General features: G+C 38.4%; 1 protein-coding gene across 1 annotated transcript in view; it reads right to left on the bottom strand.

Moving 5' to 3' along the window:
* MDN1 (midasin AAA ATPase 1) overlaps nt 1-21,042 on the bottom strand; it is a 177,297-nt gene that overhangs the window by 56,541 nt on the left and 99,714 nt on the right. The window contains exons 41-58 of the mRNA NM_014611.3: nt 20,098-20,187; nt 19,729-19,992; nt 19,328-19,589; nt 17,612-17,771; nt 16,615-16,731; nt 15,505-15,713; nt 14,110-14,258; nt 13,537-13,748; nt 12,998-13,218; nt 11,643-11,756; nt 9,458-9,590; nt 8,323-8,438; nt 7,021-7,154; nt 2,866-3,023; nt 2,520-2,640; nt 1,608-1,818; nt 1,025-1,256; nt 563-689 (exon numbers count right to left, since the gene is read on the bottom strand). Of these exons, the coding sequence (NP_055426.1) occupies nt 563-689; nt 1,025-1,256; nt 1,608-1,818; nt 2,520-2,640; nt 2,866-3,023; nt 7,021-7,154; nt 8,323-8,438; nt 9,458-9,590; nt 11,643-11,756; nt 12,998-13,218; nt 13,537-13,748; nt 14,110-14,258; nt 15,505-15,713; nt 16,615-16,731; nt 17,612-17,771; nt 19,328-19,589; nt 19,729-19,992; nt 20,098-20,187 (3,030 nt within the window). The remainder of the gene's footprint in view (nt 1-562; nt 690-1,024; nt 1,257-1,607; nt 1,819-2,519; nt 2,641-2,865; nt 3,024-7,020; nt 7,155-8,322; nt 8,439-9,457; nt 9,591-11,642; nt 11,757-12,997; nt 13,219-13,536; nt 13,749-14,109; nt 14,259-15,504; nt 15,714-16,614; nt 16,732-17,611; nt 17,772-19,327; nt 19,590-19,728; nt 19,993-20,097; nt 20,188-21,042) is intronic.

Here is a 21,042-nt window from a genome sequence, read left to right on the forward strand (position 1 = left end):
GAAATAAAGGAATAATTAGGTAAGAGAATACCTGAGAAAGACTCCATAAATTATTAGGTCTTCTTTCTTCTAAGGCCCATCTAAAACTGTCATAAGTTTAAAGGTATTAATCCAAATTTTTCCGTTTCTCTGCCACCCCAGTCAACTTGGTCAAGGAATGTGACATGTTTACAGTTTTATTTAAAGCTGTACTAATGAAATTCTATTAACAGGAGTGTACCAGTATTCATATTCAATTTATTAGAGAGGAAAAGTACAAAAAAGTATAAAAAACACTCTCACAATATATTTTTGAGCAATTGGGAGATTTTAAGCAGCAAATATTTTCATCTCATTTAATTGGAAACCAAATGAATACTCCTGTGATAAGAGTTGTAATATACCCTCATAATTACTATAAAAGAATATTTAAAATTCTTCCCTTTAAGAGGCAATTCAAAAAAACCTGAGGTTTCCAATATGGAATTTTGAGAATAAATAAAATGTTTCCCAACCAGTCTGTCAAAGAAAATCTAACCAACTCATAATGTAAAGGAGGCTTATGTCTTATTGTGATTTTTACCTTCTGATGATGCAGCAAGGACCACAGATCTCGAAGCTCTTGAGGTGTAACAGGTGTGTGATAAAGACAAAATGAGATGAGGTGACTTATCTCCTCATTTATCTGGGGTTGTTGATTTTTGCTGCATCTGTTCCAAAAATAAAGAGGGAGAGGGTGGGGTATGGACTATCAATGAACTACTGGAAAGCTGCTACATTAGGGAAGGTGTAACATAAAACTTACAGTACATTTATCTAAAAATGAACAACTCTACTGATAAAATTCTCGGTGACTTTTAAAGTAGAGTCAAAACTAGTAAAAAAAAAACCTTCAATAAATTTTGGCTTTCCAAAGTGGCAAATCACTTCCCTCTGCTTCGGTAACCATCCCTATCAAGTCTGTGGTTTGTTTATGGGTATAGGATACACAGAATAATCAAGAAAAAAAGTTCCCGCAAGGAAAACAACTGAAAGCATGGTTTACCTTCTGAGACAAGCTTGTGCCATAAAATCAGCTGTCACTTTGTACCGCCAAAGCATAGCCAGGTACTCCATTGCAGGCCACAACTGAACACTCCTGGTGAGGTGGATTACGGAGGTCAAGTCTGGATGGGACAGGGAGGAAGCTTCATCATGCTTTTTCTCCAGAAAACCAAGTGAGAGTCCTTTGGCTTTCAGTTCTAAACACTGAGCATGCACAAAATTCTTCAATTCATCTGGACAAAAAGACAAATGTTGTATGAGAGCACAATGGTTAAGAGTATAGCCTCTAGATTCTCAACAACCTGCTATGTGACTGCAAGCTTAACTTGAGCTAATCAGAGTTAAGCTCCTTAACCTAAGCTTTGAGATTCTCATCTGTGAAATGATATTAATACCCACATGATTCTGATGGAATTAAAAATATATGTGAAATTTAGTCCTATGCCTGACACTTATATAAAGGTATATAAACTCTACCCCTCACATCACCCAGAAAAGAAAAATCTAAGGGAAAACTTATTAACTACCAGCAAGAGGATATTTTCAGAGCATCTGTCAGCTAGCCAAGTGCTAGAATATTTTACCTAGGCTGACATCTTCCAAAATATTTGCTCTGAGGATCAGTCCCCAGGCTTGCAGGAGACTTTTCTTTAATGTCCACTGAGAAGCAACCACTTGGAGACGGTTAATGTCTTCCTGCCATCCACTCTCCCCAAGGGCAGACATCTGCTCCCTGATGGCAAGGACTTTGTTAAGGACCTTCAGTTGTGAAAAACACTCCACCACCAGCTTGTCCTGAAACAACAACACCCACAAGAGCATACTATAGAGCACAAATGTGGTTTTCTTTAGTAGCCTATACAGGTCTCAGAATAAATTTATGATATATTCTTAATGTTTCCAGAAAACAAAGGACTTGTTTATTTCTGTTGCTGTCAAGAGATTTTACAGTGGTAATAAAGTTAACTCTCTACCCAGCCTTAACAGTCTCAGGAATAAGTAAGATGATAATATGTAGCAAATTACTAAACAGGATTCATGGGATAGAGCCTGCCCTCTTGTTATGTGCGGGTTCCGCATCAATTCAACCAACCGTGGGTCGAAAATATTCAGGGGGAAAAATGGATGGTTGCGTCTGTGCTGAACGCATAAGGACTTTTTTATCTTGTCATTATTACCTAAGCAATACAGTATAATCACTATTTACACAGCGTTTATATTGTATGAGGTACTGTAAGTAATTTAGAGATGATATAAAGGGTACATAGGTTATATACACACACAACGCCATTTTATATAAAAGTCTTGGACTTTCCTGGAGGTTTGTATCCAAGGAGAATCCTGGAACCAATCACCCCCAGATGCCAAAGGAAAACTGCAAGAGTTATGCTTTCAAGACAAGGATTAATCTTATACAATGTCAGTTCCCAAGTTCCAAAAGGACTTCAGAAGTAGTAGTCACATTTCTTTTATTTACTAAATGCTTCCAGGTGTACCTTAAAAGGAAACGGTCGTCCCAGGAACTTCTGCAACTTCTTTATACCAGCGAAGCCACCAGTCTGGCTCCCCAGACAATTCTGAATATGTTCTGAGACAGTCTGAACTTCTTTGTAATATCTTTAAAGGAGAACAAGGGCACAGGGGAAATAAGGAAAGGGGGAAATGCTAGACAGTAAGAGAAGCCATTAATATTTTCTTTCTTTCTTTCTTTTAATTGTACATTCACCAATATGCCAAGGGAATAAACCAAAATAAAGCAAGAAGAAACAGTTTCGGTTCCAAATCTTATCCTTAACATCTATCTGTAATCATTGACATTATTACTCTAAATATGAATCTTACTTGTCTTCATAATTCATCAGAAGTCGGGGGATCTGGTGGACCAGATGTTTTAAAACCCAGTGCCAATGGAGGGCAAGAAGGGCCAGACCTGGGGCATCTACTTTTACTGTGTCGGCCACAGTCCAGAACCGGTCCCGCCACCGCAGAGAACCTAAGATCTAAAAACAAAGTCTCTTAGATAAGATGGCATGAAGAAAGACTAAAGCAAGAAGAAAAATAAAAACAAAGTGAACCAAGACTGCTCACCAACATCTCCCGGGAAAAGACACACAACATAGGCTATAATTGCTAATCAATGCTCAATTTACATACACCAAAAGTCTAAGACTGGACTGGAATATATGTAGGAACAGTAAGGCAGACAGAGGAGGTGAAGATCTTTTCTCTTAGTATTTGAAGCATGAAGTTATTAGAGAAAATGGAATTGCTGGGTCAAAGTATAGATTTTATGAGAAACTACTAACTGTATTCCAAAGCAGCTGTACCATTTTGTACTCCGACCAGAAGTGTAGAAGAGTTTCAGTTGTTTCATTTCTTTGCCAATACTTGCTGTTAATGATTTTAACTTTAGTTTTAATTTTAATTCTATTCTGGTGGATGGTACCGCACTGCGGTTTCAAGTTACATTTCTTTGATAACTGATGACACTGCAATTTTTAAAGTTCTTACTGGGCATTCATAGAACTTCCAAGAAGATATTCTATTCAGATGTCTTGCTCATTTTAAAAACTAGGTTGTATTATAGCTAGTTTATGGAATTTATGTGTTTTGTTAGCAGTTTTTCCCAGTATATTCATTCTCTCACAGTATGTTCATAAAGGTATCTATGAAGAATAGAAGTTTTAAATTTTGATGAAATCAATTTATCAATTTTTTTTCATTTAGAAAGAATCCTAAAAAATCTTTGCCTATATTTAGATTGTAAAGATCTTCTCCTACGTTTTCTTTTAGCCAGCTCATAGTGTCAGTTCTATTTTTAAAGGTTTCATCCATGTTGAGGTAACTACATATAATGTGAGGTAGGGGTAAAGGCCCTTTTTTTTTTTTTTTGAGACAGCGTCTTGCTCCATCGCCAAGGCTAGAGTGCAATGGCGCAATCTCAGCTCACTGCAACCTCCGCTTCCCAGGTTCAAGTGATCTCCTGCCTCAGCCTCCTGAGTAGCTGGGATTACAGGCGCCTGCCACCACACCCAGCTAATTGTTTTGTATTTTTAGTAGAGATGGGGTTTCACCATGTTAGCCAGCCTGGTCTCGAACTCCTAACCTCAGGTGATCCACCCACCTCGGCCTCCCAAAGTACTTAGGATTATAGGCATGAGCCACTGTGCCTGGCTAGGCTCATTTTACTTTATATAAACATCTAATTCTTCCATCACCATTTACTGAATAGACCATTTTTTGCCATTAAATTACCTTTGCATATTTAACAAAAAACAAAACAAAAATAACTGACCATGTATGGGGAAGGGGGGGGGGTCTATCTGTGAATCCTCTGTTTTATTGGTTTAAATGTCTATTCTTAAGACAATACCATACGGTTTTGTTTAATACAGGGTTGCAATGCAAATCAGGTAATATGAGTCTCCAACATGGCTCTTTGAATAATGCATTTTCACAGTAACATTGTTTCTAGATTAGTGATTTCCTATAGTGGTTCCATGAAGTCAAAGCTATTTTCATAATATCATGTTATTTGCCATTTTCACTATGATGACATTTACACTAATAGTACAAAAAAAGAAGGACTGGCAGGCAAATTATGACTATCTGACAGACACTGTATTGAAAATCAATGTGAACCTGTCACTTCAAGAAAAACAATTGAGAGGCCAGGTGCGGTGGTTCATACCTGTAATCCAGCATTATGGGAGGCTGAGGCAGGCAGATCATCTGAGGTAAGGAGTTCCAGAACAGCCTGGCCAACATGGTGAAACCCTATCTCCACTAAAAATACAAAAAATTAGCTGAGCGTGGTGGCACGCGCCTGTAATCCCAGCTACTTGGGAGGCTGAAGCAGGAGAATCACTTGAAACCAGCAGGCAGAGGTTGCAGTGAGCAAAGATGGCACCACTGCACTCCAGTCTGGGCAACAAGAGAGAAACTCCGTCTCAAAAAAAAAAAAAAAAAAAATTGAGGATATATGTTGCCATGATAAAATTTCAGCTTTTAAGCAAAACTTAGAATTCTGAAAAACTGGCCAGGAACAGTGGCTCATGCCTGTAATCCCAGCATTTACGGAGGTTGACGCAGGTGGATCACCTGAGGTCAGGAGTTCAAGACCAGCCTGACCAACATGGTGAAACCCCGTCTCCACTAAAAATACAAAAATTACCTGGGTGTGGTGGCACGTGCCTGTAGTCCTGGCTACTCAGGAGGCTGAGGCAGGAGAATTGCTTCAACCTAGGAGGCGGAGGTTGGCAATGAGCTGAGATCACGCCATTGCATTCCAGCATGGGCGACAGAGCGAGACTCTGTCTCAAAAAAAATTCTGGAAAACAGAGTTTGATGACTTCCTGGTAACGATTTTTCTGAAGAGATTTGTGATTTTTCACAAGTGTGACTTTTTACTTATTTATATTGAAGAATGAAATGTGCCAACTCAGTGAACAGTATTTTCCAAGTTACCAGTGCACGAGCTATAAACTAATGCAGGGTCAAAGTCTATCCAAGGTGCAAACTAGGCCAATGAATTTTCTTTTTTTAGATGGAGTGTTGCTCTGTCCCCCAGGCTGGAGTGCAATGGCACGATCTCGACTCACTGCAACTTCTGCCTCCTGGGTTCAAGCGATTCTCCTGCCTCTCGAGTAGCTGGGACTACAGGCGCCCGCCACCATGCCTGGCTAATTTTTTGTATTTTTAGTAGAGATGGGGTTTCACCGTGTTAGCCAGGATGGCCTTGATCTCCTGACCTCGTGATCCGCCCACCTCAGCCTCCCAAAGTCCTGGGGTTAGAGGCGTGAGCCACCGCACCTGGCCGTGGCCAATGAATTTTAACACAAGAAGTTCACTGATTATTTGCTCAGATTTTCCATTGCAAATAACCCTTACAAAACTACTTGTCATTTTTGGTGTGCCATCAAATAAGAATATTTGAAATTATATGAAATGGTTACTAAAATATTCCTCTCCTTTCCAACCTCCTAACTATAGGAGGCCAGTTTTTCTTCATAAACTTTATCCCAAACAACATACTACAAGAATCCATCTTTTCACAAGCCAGACATACAGAGACTTGCAGGAATGTACAACAGTTCCACATTTCTCAAATTTTACTTTAGAAATTGCTATTTTTTATTGAAAATAAGTTATTCATATTAACGTGAAATTCTTTGCTACTGTATTTTTAAGCAAATTTATGGGTTTTTTTTATGTTTTTCAGATTCAGTTCTTAATATGTAAAAACTGACAGATATAACATCGTTGGAGTTTTTGAGAACCTTTAAGAGTATAGAGGCAGAGATCAAAAAGTTTAAGACTGGCTGCTCTACTTTACTAGACTTACTAGAATAATCTGGATTAAAAATTCCATTTAATCCACATGTGACAATAATGTCTAAGAGGACTTAAGTGGATTAAAATATAACTGTTACAATCTAACAACAGGTGAGCGAATAAAAAAACTGTAGTAGATCCACACAATGGAATACTACTCAGCAATAAAGAGGAATGAACTACTGATACATGAAACCACATGGATGCATCTCCAAATCACAATGCTGAGTGAAAGAATATAAACAAAAAAGTATATATACTGCATAATTCCACGTATAGAAAATACAACTGATCCACAGTAAGAGAGCAGATCAATGGCTACCTCGTTGTGGGTGGGAGCAGGAAAGAAGAAAATACAAAAAGGGAATGAGGAAACCTTTGGGGGTGATGGATATGTTCATTATCTTGACTGTGATAATGGTTTCACAGGTGTATACATGTCAAGACTTATACACTTTAAATATATGCAGTTTATAATATGTAAATTATACCCCAATGAAGATTTTAAATATGTGTATAGGTATATTTAAAACTGTTAAGAATAAGTTTCTTAAATAATATTGGGCATATAACAACACTAAAGTTAGTCTTAGCCCTAAGAATCTTTATGCCAAGAAAGATAAATTTTGTTGTTTAAAAATAAAACAAGATGCAGTTCCTTACCTCATTGGCACTGGCATCAGACACCATTCCCTGGGAGGACTGTACCCAGAGCAGGACTAGTGCATCACAAAGTTCAAAAAAAGCAGCAAGATTGACCACAATTTCATGGGGCAGAGTGTGATAGCTTTCTGGATCTGAGAGTCAACATAAATAAAATGAGAACATTTCATCAGATTTAAAATAATCTCTGGACATTTTCAAAATAAACTGTAATCTAGAATTTAAATGTTATCCCCAGTACAAAGGTCAATTTTGAGAGCAAAAGCAAAAGCAAATTCTTTGCCTACTACAGGTTGAGTGTCTCTTATCTGCAATGCTTAGAATCAGAAGTCTTTCAGATTTTCAATTTTTTTTTTTTGATTTTGGAAATCTTTGCATATACATAATGAGGTATCTTGGGGAAACACATAGTCCAAATTTTCTATTTTACAATGTTTTTAATAATTTTGTGCATGAAACAAAGTTTGGACTGCATTTTGACTATGGCTCATCATATGAGGTCAGGTATAAAATTTTCCATTTGTGGCATCATGTCAGTGCTCAAAAAGTTCCTGATTTTGGAGCATTTCAGATTTCAAATTTTCATATTAGGGATGTTCAATCTGTATTATTAAACTCTGCAAATGAGGCATGTATACCTACAGATGTAAATAATGTCTCACGGAAAAATGCAGATTATAAAGAAAAAAATGTATATTTTATACAAGTATTTAAGTATAAAATGAAAACTAAGTACATATGTTTAGATAGATAGTTAATACCAATAGATATGAGAAAACATAAATGAAACTATTACTAACAGTAGCTGATGTAAAGATGAACTTTTTCAATTTTTATACTTTAATAGTTTGAATTTTTTCCAACAAGCACAACTATCTTTTCAATTAACAAAAAAAAAACATGGGAGAAATGCTCCCTCCTATAATAAATGCTTATGAATATGTACTTTTTCAGCTGACAGACCTAGTTTTCAAGTGGCTCTGTTACTTGCTAGAGACGTGACCTTGAGCATCTCCGTGTCTCCGTTTCCTCACTAACAACATGGGGACCTATATCACAGGTGGCTACAAAAAGTAAATGAGATCAAGGACACATAAAAAGCATTTAGCTAAGCACCTGGCACAAAGTAAGTGCTCAGTAAATGTTAGTCATTACTATTGAGTAAGGGGACATGTTTAAAATCAGGCCAGCAGATTAAAAGAAACCAGTAAACAACAGCAGCTGCTGAATATGCCTCTCAACTTTAGCAACATTATGCAATCAGATGCTTAATTAGAGAACACAAAAGGTAAATGTTCTTACCTTGATGGAATTCAAAGGACATTCTCAAAACACTCTCTCTTAGCTTTTTGCTACCAACAGAAACCAAATTTGCTTCAGTAAAAACCCGTTTTTCCCGGTCAAGATATATGATTGTCCTGGAATGAGATTCAAAAAACGTAACAAATAGCTATCGGTTAATAACATTTTCAATCATATCCTCTATTTGCTGGAACACTTGGAACATCAGGGTCCTTCATCCTGCCATTCCTCTCCTGCCTCTGCAAATCTTGGACTAAAGAGATGGAGATGAAAGTGACAACTACTAAGGTGAAAGGAAAGATCGATGGATGGAGAAAGCTGGGTCTAGGCAGACTCCCAGGCCTTGGTCTGTCACGATCTGACAAACTGCACCGTGAACTCTTCAAAGTGGCCATGGTAGAAATGGAGGAGTTGGTGGAGCAGAGGAGTAGGGGGCTGGTAGCTTGCAAGGCACCCTCTGAGGTACACACTATACTTGTGGATTCACTTTGAAAATTAAGTAAATTCATATGTGAGTGTGTACATAAGTATGGAGGTGCTATTATGTCTCCAACATTTGAGGACAGGAAATGATGTGGACAGAGAGATTGCTGAGGAAGAGACAAGTAAAAACAAGTAGGTGAAAATGGGAGGAGCTGCTGGGAATCAAACAAAAACCAGGCTGGGCACAGTGGCTCACACCTATAACCCCGGCACTTTGGGAGAATGAGGCAGGTGGATCACTTGAGCTTAGAAGTTTAAGACCAGTCTGGGCAACATGGCAAAACCCTGTCTCTACAAAAAAGTACAAAAATTAGCCAGGTGTGGTGGTATGTACCTGTAGTCCCAGGTACTTGGGAGGCTGAGGTGGGAGGATGGCTTAAGGCCAGGAGGCAGAGGTTGCAGTGATCCAAGATTATGCCACTGCACTCCAGCCTCAGTGACAGAGCTAGACCCTGTCTCAAAAGCAAAACAAAAAACAGAAAACAGTAGAAAATATGATTATCGTATGATAAAGGCAATCATGTCCAACACCCCACAACTTCTCAGGTTCACAAAATTCAACACACATAAGCTATTTGACAGATTCTTAGGAAAGGTATAATCCGAGAAGCCAGTGAGGCAAACAGTGCCCAGAGCAGCAGGTTTCACTTACTTGTTTGCAGCTGATTCTAAAAGGGCAAAGAGCTGGTCAGGCTGGTCCGTTTGTGGGTCAAAGTCCATCAAATTTCTAATCATGTCCAGAGCCTGCATATTCCATCGGGGATCCAGAGGGATCACAAATTCATCTAGTTTAAAAACAGAACAAAACAAAAATCAGAAATATTGGAGAAACTCCTTGCCTGGGAAGTTTCAGTTGAATATTTTCATTGTTTTACTTTGAGCACATTGAATCATGATGGGGAAGAGGTTGAACCAGTAAATACCATGAGTTTCATCCCATAATACTAGAATAGCAGGGTTTAATAGCTTTTACACTCTATCTTTACCAAATGCAAAGTATCTGTATGTCCTGAAAGTTCATCCCAATGCAGGATATAAAGGTAATCCCTACTAGAATACAACATTCCAACCAATGAATTCACTTCCTGAGATCACACTAATCCATGGGCTAAATTACACAGTGGTCACCATTAGCTTAAAAAAAAAAAAAAATACGTACATGGCAGAAAATGAATAAATACACCTCACTATCTGTTTTCATTAAGAAAACAATGCAGTTTTTTAAACTTAAAAACAAATTCTCTATAATCAGAATGTGGCTGCTGCTGCCCCACAATCCTCTGGCTCACACCTGACACAACTTCTGTGAAGCAGCAGGAGGAGACTGACATTCTCCAGAAGTTGTGAAAACCCAAGGAAGGGAGGCAAGACACAAAAAAGGGTAACATTAATTTGAAGGTGGCTGGCAGGACGGTTCAGTGGAGCACTTTAAGTTTTAAAAGCATCCACCATATAGTAGACTACCCAGACTACCCAGGACATACTGTGAACAGCAGGTACATTAAGGAGGGAACCCATATTCCAACACTCAGTAAGATAAAAGGGCTACAAAACTGAAAAGGACAGTTGGAGCTAATGTGTTCCAACAGAGGACAAGCGATGCCTGCTGAAAATGAAAGCTGCTACTGTAGAACTGTGTTTGTAAAAGTTACAATCCTCTCATAGTGGAAAGCCATGCCTTAGTTCAGCCACAACTTGACTAGCAAAGTATTTTTCTCTATTGTTTGATTTCTTCCCATTCACTCCATGATCTTTAGTGCACATAAAGGAATTATTTAGCACAAAAGCATCATGCATATTTTCTTCTAAACCAAATGGCCAGTGGTATATTTTGATCAACATCAAATGAAGATGGAGGTAGAAAATTTTAAATCTGGTGTTGTGAAAATGCCCATTTTCTTCATTAATGCTTGTGCCAATCAAGTTAATATTACTCTGTTCTAGGAAATGTTTATTCTCTCACTCCTTATTTAAAAAAAATTAATCTTGAATACTTCCTTTGATCAGATATCTTAGATGTCTATTTCTGTTATCACTATGGTTTTATAACTTCGTCATCAAGGTTTTCTCAGAGACAGGGTCTGGCTCTGTTGCCCAGGCTAGAATGCAGTCAGTGGCACTATCACAGCTCACTGCAGCCTCAAACTCCTGGACTTACACAATCCTCCTCTCTCAACCTCCCAGGTAGCTGGACCACAGGTACAAGTCACCGCATCTATCATTAAAGGTTTATATTTTCCTAAATTAAATGACCCTGTGTAACTTTCCTTTAAGTCAAATATCTCGTGGTTTGAAACTCTTCCTACTAACGATACTGGTAGACAACACAAAGCTAAGGGTGGAAGGCACCTCAGAGAAATAAGAGCTTAATTCCCCTAGTTTCTAAACACAGGCAGAGACAGTGAATGATGAGCCAAAAATCTACCAAGCCAGTTTGTGGCAGAGTTGGTACCAGGGCCTAGTGTTCCAACTCCTAGATTCTTTTTACTCCATGGCATATCATCAGCCTCCTTCAGAAGCTGGAGGATAAATGGATAGTTTCAGGCCAAGCATGGTGGCTCAAGCCTCTAGTCCCAACAGTTTGGGAGACCAAAGCAAGAGGATTGTTTGAGGCCAGAATATCAAGAAGACCCTGGGCAACTTAGTAAGACCCTGTCCCTTTAAAAAAAAAAAAAAGAAATTTCAAAAAAAAAGAAGGAGAATTTGCTTCTGCATATCATGAGTCTTCTAAAAAATACCGTTATGTTGAGACCTCTAACAGGTCAGATCTTTTCCCCATAAAGTCAAAAGATAAGTTTCCAAAACAGTGCTGAGAGCTAGAAATCAAAAGTGCATACCTGTTGTATTTGGTTGTAATATTTTGAAAACATTACTGACTGCACCTGAGAGGGAATGTGAGTAAAAATTCCTGAGAGATGCAGCACTGGCTTCCAAATGAATTTGTATGGACTCTGTGGAGGAAGGAGAAACCAGTGTTAGACTCTAAAGCAGTGCTATCCAATTGAACGTTCTGCAGTGATGAAAATGTTCTACAGCTGCATAGAATAACCACTAGTCACATATGAGGACCTGAAATGTGGCCAGTGCAACTAAAGGACTGGATTTTTTATTTTTTTAAATCTAATCTACATTTACATTTTAGTAGCCCTCTCTGGCTGGCTAGTGGCTATCATATAGGACAATACAGATAAAAATATTTATAAAAATTCTCTACATATATTTAGACAGATGACCACATGTGTTACAAAATATTATAAACATCCATGGGCTTATTGACAAATTCTCATGAAGTAGAAAGGCTCATGTAAACTCAATTACTTAATCTCCACCAACAAATTCCATGTTCTGTACTTTACAATTCAAGCAATGTTGTTATTGTTGCTTTGTCCTCTCTTAAAACGAAAGAACTACAAAGAAAGTACAGGTGGCCCTCCATATCTGAGGGTTCCACATCTGTGGAATTCAACCAACTACAGATCAAAAATATTCAAAAATTTAAAAAAACAAAAAATAAAAATACAACAAAAATAATATAAATTTTAAAACAACGTACTACAACAACTATTTACATAGCATTTACATTGTATTAGGTATTATAAGTAATCCAGAGATGATTTAATGCATACAGGAGGATGTGTGTAGGGTATATGAAAATACTATCCCATTTTATATAAGGGGCCTTAGCGTCCACGTATGTTGATGTCCCTGGGTGGGGGAGGGAGAGTCCTTGTATCAATCCCCCACAGATACCAAGGGACAACTCCAAGTGTGACAACATGGAGCACTGGAACTAAAATAAGATTAGAATCTTATATACTTTTAGAGGAAATGCATTTATCAAAACTAATACCTTTCCCATATAGAATGGTTCTGTAGCAGTAGTACAGCACAAAAAGCAGATGTTCAAAACTAAAAAGTAAAATAATACAGTATGCTTTCCTTTTGAATTTGTTAGGAAGGTGACTATATCCTGAAATGCTAAGGATAACATGGAAACAAAAGTTTATCTTGTGACACATCTACAGGCAGACTTGCTCCTTAACAGTAATGCTAGACCACAAATTTCTTCCTAGGAGACCTCCCAACTGTAATTTTAACAGTGTAGTCACAGATTAACACAGCTGCTGAGGCACTTAAATAGCATAAGTGTATATAAATCACATCAGTGGACAAATTAAGCTGTTCTACTCACCAAGCCCCTGCGGTATATTCTTGGCTAAATGATAAAGCCATTTAACTCTGAGCATCCAATCCTGATTGGTTGCTCTTTCTATGAGCAATTTAACAGCCATGACCAAAACATCTGGTTCATCGATCCAGTAAGTATTCACTTCGACTGCATTGAATTTCAGGTTCTCAGGGCTGGGGGACTGCATAATTTTCTCTAAGTCTTGCAAGGTAAAAGGCTGACTCCTGAAATTCATTTGAATGAACAAACTCAGTACTAGAATAACCTTTTATTTCACATTCCAAATAACTGAGAAAACCTCTTTCACAAATATTGGATCAAAGGTAAGAGAGAAAAGGAGAGTCTCCCACAGAGGAAGAAAGTTAAAACATACCTAATAAATAATCAATAGGGAGCAATATCACAATGAACAATAAAACTATGACAGCTACACAATAAATGGCCACAGAATGCTCCAGTTAAATATATTGTGTCCTGACCATTTCCAGCAAAAATAAAAACCAGCCAAGAAACCAGAGACACAAGCTGAAGGCTCCACTGACCTTGTCCAGCTGCTGGTTTTCATGCTCATCCTGTTGAGACAATATACTAAGATCTGTCCATCTCTTCGGACTGTAGACAGGTGTGAATCTTCAGTAGCAAAGAGAGCTGAGGGCACAGAATCTGGCCACAGTCCCATGCCAAGAATGGAGTCTCCCCAGGTTTCATGTGCTCGCAAAGAAGAAACATGTTTCTCCAGTAAAGCCTGTACAAGCTGGTAGGAGACAAAAACACAATACAGTGGTACCAACATAAAAGTGATATTCCCCAAAAACCAGCAAAGTAATAATAGTCCATGCGACCACCTCACAACAACTTTTAATACACTCTTCAATGAAAAACACAAGTCAAATTCTACTTTTCCTGATGACATGTAAGTTTAAAAAAAAAAAAAAAGGAATATTTACATTCAAGCTATTTTCCAGAAAAGTACCTGGATACCAGATCTCTATTAGAGCAAACTGCAGTGGTCAACTCTCTTAGGTCACTGGGTTGCCACCTTTAAAAATAATTTCCTCGTACTCAAGAATGTAGGGTATTACAACTTAGAAACATTCTGCAATACTTCATAGTACCTTCCGGTTTGCTGGTGAATGCTGGGAACAGACATATACTTCCCAGCATGCTTCAGAAAAGGCTCTGTCTAAACTCAGCCCTCGCTGCAGGTACTGGACAATTAGTATGGCTGTCTGGATTAGAGTTGATACAGAAGATGTTGGAGAACCTATTAAAAAAAAATTGCCATCTATAAACAATAGAGTCTTTAAAATCTCCAATGAAAATGGATAAATTCTGCCCTCCCATCAAACCTCCTTCCTGTCAACCCCACCCAAATACTTACTTTACAAAACATTCCAAGTAGACTCTAGAGTCCTCCGAGGGCACAAAGGACCTGTAGGAACCTTTGTATTCCTATCTCCCCTGTTTCTCTATGGCTGTCTGTAGTTTATTATGGGGGACTCATTTATAGATGTGATAAAGTCTGGTCACATATATCCTTAATCTAATGCTGACACACACTGAAGGTGGCAAGTTGAGTGTAACCTCATAAAAGACCATGGGATTTGAAATCCAACAGGCCTATTTGCAAATTCCAGCTGTTATTATTAACTGATAAATTACTCAAACTCTCTGAGTCTTATCTGAAAAATGAAAACATATGCCTTGCAGAACTAATGTAAAGATTAAATAAACAGCTGGGCATGGTGGCTCACGCTTGTAATCCCAGCACTTTGGGAGGCCTAGGTGGGCGGATCACGAGGTCAGGAGATTGAGACCACAGTGAAACCCTGTCTCTACTAAAAATAAAAAAAAAATTAGCCGGGCGTGGTGGCAGGTGCCTGTAGTCCCAGCTACTCGGAGAGGCTGAGGCAGAAGAATGGCATGAACCTGGGAGGCGGAGCTTGCAGTGAGCCAAGATCACGCCACTGCAGTCCAGCCTGGGCGACAGAGTGAGACTCTGTCTCAAAAAAAAAGAAAAAAAAAAAAAGATTAAATAAACAATCTGCATGGTACCTAACACAGAGTAGTTATCCAACAAGCAATACTTCATTTATTATCTTGTTCCTTTTTGTGTAATTGAAAGTTTAGAAAAAGTAACACCTGTCTGCTTTAAACAACTCAAAGTTTCCTCTTTATTCCAACTTCAAGAGGCTGTTGATGACCCTGGAGAAATGATGGGCAAACTTCATAAACCTCAGTGCGTAAAGTGGAATTACTCGAGGGTTAGCCTCTGCTTACTTGCATCAGAATGACATAAGAAGCGTCTTTCAGATACTGATTCCTGTGCCTTGCCCTGCCCTGCTGAACCCAATCTCTTGGGGTGTCTGGAAATCCACATTTTTAACAAGCTTTCCTGATAATTTCTATATACACTAAATGTACGAAATCTTTGATGAGCAGTCCAATGGAATGACATAAATTTCTTGAAGACTAAAACTCTGCAAAGGCCCAAAAGTCAAGCACCTCACCTACAACAGTGCTCCGGGTCTCTGTGTGTAAAGCCAAGAGGATGTCACATACACTGTTCCCCACCAATCCAAGGCTGTGCAGCAGAACTTTCAAATCCAGGTTGTCTGGGGTGCTTGCATCCCCTTCCCCTGAAATGTAGATTTCAAGTCCACGATTCCTCATAGCTCGGGATATATCTCCATGAACAGGATCCATCGAGAGGAAAAGTCTAGAAAAATAGCAATTCAAAGAAAAAAATGATTTTAAATCCCAGTGCAACCAAAGGTGTAGCTCAGCATCAGTCAGTGAGGGCAAATCCTATGTGGCTCATTGTCACAGAATTCACACCAAGGATCTTTTACTTCTAGCATGCATCAATATAGCAAAAGATTTTCTCTAAACCTACTTTCCTAAGGAACTGTGTATGATATATCCAGTGTACCTTTAGTGCTGAGAACTTTAAAAATTTAACCTTCAGATATTCCCCAGAGTAGGCTGTACTAATTCATTATTCTAACTCACCTACAGACAGCAGAACAGGAAGCAAGTGTAGTCTCCTGAAACAACTGGATTCATATATTGAATGCCCATCAACATCTCCATCTAGTTATCTTACACCTCTGATGTATGTCTGAAAGTAAACAGCTGATTCCCGGTAGACCCTCCCCACATTAAACCTGCTCCTTTACCAGTCTTCCCTTTCTCAATGAATGGCAACCCCATTTACCCAGTTACTCAAGCCAAAAACATAGGTGTCATCCTTGATTCTTCTTTTTCTCAACCCACATGTCCATCAGCAAACCAACCCATCTGACCACCCTCATCTAAGCCACTGTGATGTGTTGCCTAAATTACTGCAAAAGGATCATGACTGGTATCTCTGCTTCCCACCTTCGTCACCAATGCAAGGCAAGGACCTTGCCCCTCTTGTTTATGCTGTGTTTCCAGAGCCCAGCAATGCCTGGCAAATAGTAAAGCCTCAGTAAGTATTTGTTAAGTGAATTAATAAATGGGTGAACTTCTCCATGATTCAGTTTATAAATAAAATATATAAGGAAGTCCTACTGAACGTCTACCTCTGCTACTGAGGCTGTCAGATTCTGAGGCAGAAATGTAAGAGATACAAATACCTGAAATTGGGATTTGGTGTTATCGTGGGAGTGGATCCATCTATCATTCCTCTCTCACTAATAGTGAGGACACCTCCGGGTTCAAGCAAAGCATTCAAACGATCCAACACTGATGGGCTGCAGAGACAGAATTCAGATGGTGGATAGGCTGACATGCTGCATTGACTCTTCTTTCCTTCCATGCACGGGGCTCCAAATGCTTTTGACTCACATTTCCTTTCGGCACAATCATTCACCCAGATACAACAGTGATCTCTTTCAAAAGTAGATTCCCCATTGATTTTCCTTCTCGCTTCCCTAGGCACATAGCCCAGGGCCTTATACACAGTAAATACACAAGATATTTTTGAATAAATGAAATTAAAGAAAATGATAAGTTCCTTGCACTATAACCTTTTCACTTTTTCCTTTCCTGCCCCCCATCCCTCAACATTATCAAATCCATTTAAGGCAGCTGGATTTCAATTTGTAACATTCAGATAAATGCTCCGTGAAGAAATAGTCATCATCTAACTTGTAGTAGCTTCTATGTTAACTGTATATGTACAATAGTTTCACACTTGTCCTTTACCTTACTGCAAGATCAAGAATGATACATGGTTGAATTGCTGCATCACTGATGGCCATTTAATAAATGCCTGCCCTGTGTCAGACCCTGCATTAGAAAAAACTGCACTGAAGAAACCCTAACAAAAGGAAGACTTCTGATATTAAATTAAAAGGCCTAACTCAAAGGACATTGCCAGGAAAAATAATCCAATTTTGTTAGCCTTTGCTTTGGCTGAAAATTATCATACAGAGCTGAAATCTTATAACTGTCTGATGACGAATTACCACTGTTCACCACAGGGAGAAGTCTACAGAATATGGCTGAGGACGCTTGCGTAATTAAGAAAAACAGTAGCTTCAAAATACCAGCACTTCTATCTGGGTTTCTACTTTGACAAGCATATCCCAAATTTCAAGTTGGACCACTGATTAGGCATAAGGTTCTTACTTGCAGAAGTTAACATTGTCCATCAGAAGCCAGTCTCCAGACTTCAGGGCCTGAACCAACATGCTGTCAACCCATTCAAATGTGCCATGGCTATGGCCACTGGCCAACTGCGTAAGCTTCACACCAAAGCTTCGGAACTCTTCAACAAGTTTGGCAAACTCTGAAATGTCACAGGGAAGAATCACCATCCACAGCACTTAACTTCAAACAAAGAATTAAGTTTATGAAAAGGAAGCTTGATACTTCTAGCCAAGGTTTTTAAGATTTCATAAAAGAATAAATAGAAGAATGTTTTGCTTCTGTTTAAACACAGATAGGAAAGTTAAGTTTAAGACAGAAAATACGTTTTAATGGCTCTCTGTATTAATAGCTACTCAGGGTTGACTCTAGGGTGATAGAGGTGGCAAATGATTTTTCTGTATTACGGTTTCTCAAATGGCAGAAGGAGGACGTTTCCCACCTATCAGTGCATTTATACTAAATGAAAGTGCTATAACTTCACACAGTGCAAACTGGGCTTCCTTTATAATGAGCATATCATATGATTATAGTAATATAGTAATAACTGGTAATTACTTGCCAAATGCTTTATAGTTTATATAGCCCTTCCCTCGAAATTTTTCAGTTGATCTTTTTGGTTGGAAACTGTTTTATGACCATTTTTCATATCACAAGGTAATACACATTGGATTTCTACTTCTAAAGATGAGGGAGTAACGAGGTTTAGACTTAACATACCATAGTCCAACCACTTGCTAACTGTAAAACTGTAGGCAAGTAATTTTGTCTCTTTGAATATTCACATCCTCATCTATTAGATGTAGATAATCCTTCCTATAATGCAGTGTTGTCACGGTGATTAAAAGTACATATATTCAGTATAGTGTTTATAATAGAAATTCATAACTCAATGGTGAGTTTTACAATACCCATTTAAAAATATATGACACATGACTGCATCGGATATCTTTTATAATTAGAGTGAATGAGTAAAGGATTTCAAGTTCAAATGGCAGGCTTAAAGTGAGAAATGACAGATCAAATCAACAATGAAGAAAGTAAATGAGTGGCCCACCGCCACAGATAAAATGTTTGCTGGCCAAGAAGTGGGATGTCTGATTTCTTCGGCTATAAGGAATCAACACTTTGTAATCAGTTACAAGCAGGCTTTGGAAATAAAGAATGACAAGCATAGTGACAGACCCAGCCTGTGGGCCTTTAGGTTGAATCCTCCCTAAGAGCATGCTCACCACCACTCTGAAAGTGGCACCACAAAATGAGAGAAATTTCCATGTTAATTGGATGGCATACAGGATGATATATTTCCTCCATCTCCACACAAATGAATAAACACATCCTATGAATTCAGACTCCTATTCTTCAGTTTAAAAATGCTCAATTTCCTGAGAAATTATTGAGTAAAAAAATAGCCAGTAATAATAAAAGTTTTACATGCTGTTTTATCATTATAGGTGATTACACACAAAATAAACCATAAAGCAACGTAACCAATTTTTTTCCTATTTGATTTTTCAGGATCAACTATTCTGAATACTTTACCTCAGCTTCATTTTACTTTCTAGGTCAAACTTTCCCACAAGTTCTGATTGTTAATAATTACTAAATTAATACAAAACATTTGTAAATCTATTACGTGTAAATGGACACAATATAAGCAATGGTAAGTTCCTGATACAGAGATCCAAATATACATACCTGCCTTGCAGTATGAGTTGATTTTATTGTTGAGTCGCTGCATAAGCAATAACACTGCTTCTAGTTTGTTGACAATCTCCATCGTGATAGCTTTACCACCTTCTCCAAGACACTTAGGCTTATATGTCAGAAGAAAATGACTCCAGGCTCGCAGCACTACTTCTGCATCATCAGCACTGATAAGGAGGCTATCCCTTAACAGTGCCCTTACAGTTCCCTCCACCTTCTCTAGCAGCCTCCTCCAAGGTCGTATAAGATCAACCTGTAATTTCCAGAGGACATGAACTCATCATAGGGTCAGAGAATACTGTTATCTGTACTCATCACCAACTCAGAAGACTCTCAGTCAGACCACGGGGTTTATTATGCTTTGCCAGAAAATATGAAGGCAGACTGGTTACCTGCTCAAATCCACCCAGCAGCTCAGTAGTATCCATTGCACTGTTCATAGCCATGATCTTTAATGTGTGGCCAGTAAGGTGTGCCAGAAGCTGGACCAGGCTGGTCTTGCCCACAGAGGCTGGCCCGACCAGGATGACCATCCAGCTCATCTGCACACACTTCATGATTGACTCCAGGGGTTGGAATGACTGGTGCAGGAGCAACAGGGGATGGCGGGACGGGTGAGGAACACAGCTCCCACGGGAAAGGACTGAGTAGCCCAACTGAAAAGACATGCCAGTGAGATTTCCATAAGCGTGCCTGGTAGTGGGAGCAGAAGAAACCATTAAAAAATGTCAAAGGATAGAGGATTATCCTAGTCTCCTTACCTGAACATCATAGGGAGTGATACGAAATAGTCTGGTTCCCATGTATGGGTTGGAATTTGAACCAAACACATCCTTGAATACAGCAATGACCTAAAGGAAGAAGATAATGCAATGAAAACACAAATCACTCCACCTAATTCTTAGGCAAACTTTCTAGAAAACAAGCACAGTGATAAGAGTCACTATTCTAAAAACACTGGCCACAATTCCCTTATCCTTTTGAATTTTCTCTTATAAAAAGGATTGACTGCATTTATTTAATTCTTTGGAATGAAAGTAAATTTGAGATTGAGAACATAGCAGTCATATTCCAAACTATCTGAGATTCCAGTAACAATGCACCATAAATTAAATTGAAGCCATGGACACTGTAGTATTGAAATCTAGAGACAAAAAAAGAGTTGTTTGCTTTCATCATTGAAGATACTACCTAAAAAGAGGATAGAACAGTAATACGAAGATTATAAAGAAAAATGACCATTCATTAACCACCTCCTATGTACCAAACACTGTATTAAGTACTTTGGTAGATTATTTCTGATCTTTATACCCATGCAAAATAGTTACCATGTCCATTTTATATAGACAACAGCACTCACAAGAGTTATAGAATTTGCCCATGGTTGGTGACCGATTTTAAATCTAAGCCAGTCAGCCTCCAAAAAACATGTTATCCCTCCAAACATTTATGTAGATATGAAAACCAAATTTATTCCTCTAACCAATTATTTACATTGTTATCCTTTCATTAGCAGTAATGCTATTAGAAAATGTTCTGTTGACTCTTTTATTTTGGATCTCTAAAAAATCTAAGAGTAATGGTGGGGGGCGGATAGAGGTATATAAAAAACATTAATTTAGCCCACAGAAGTAGGGAAAATTAAAGCCAGAAAAAAAATAAATAAAGTATACAAAATAGTATTTCTAAAAAGCAGCAATACTTAC

This window comes from Homo sapiens, chromosome 6 (genome assembly GCF_000001405.40).
Source record: "Homo sapiens chromosome 6, GRCh38.p14 Primary Assembly".
Taxonomy (NCBI): domain Eukaryota; kingdom Metazoa; phylum Chordata; class Mammalia; order Primates; family Hominidae; genus Homo; species Homo sapiens.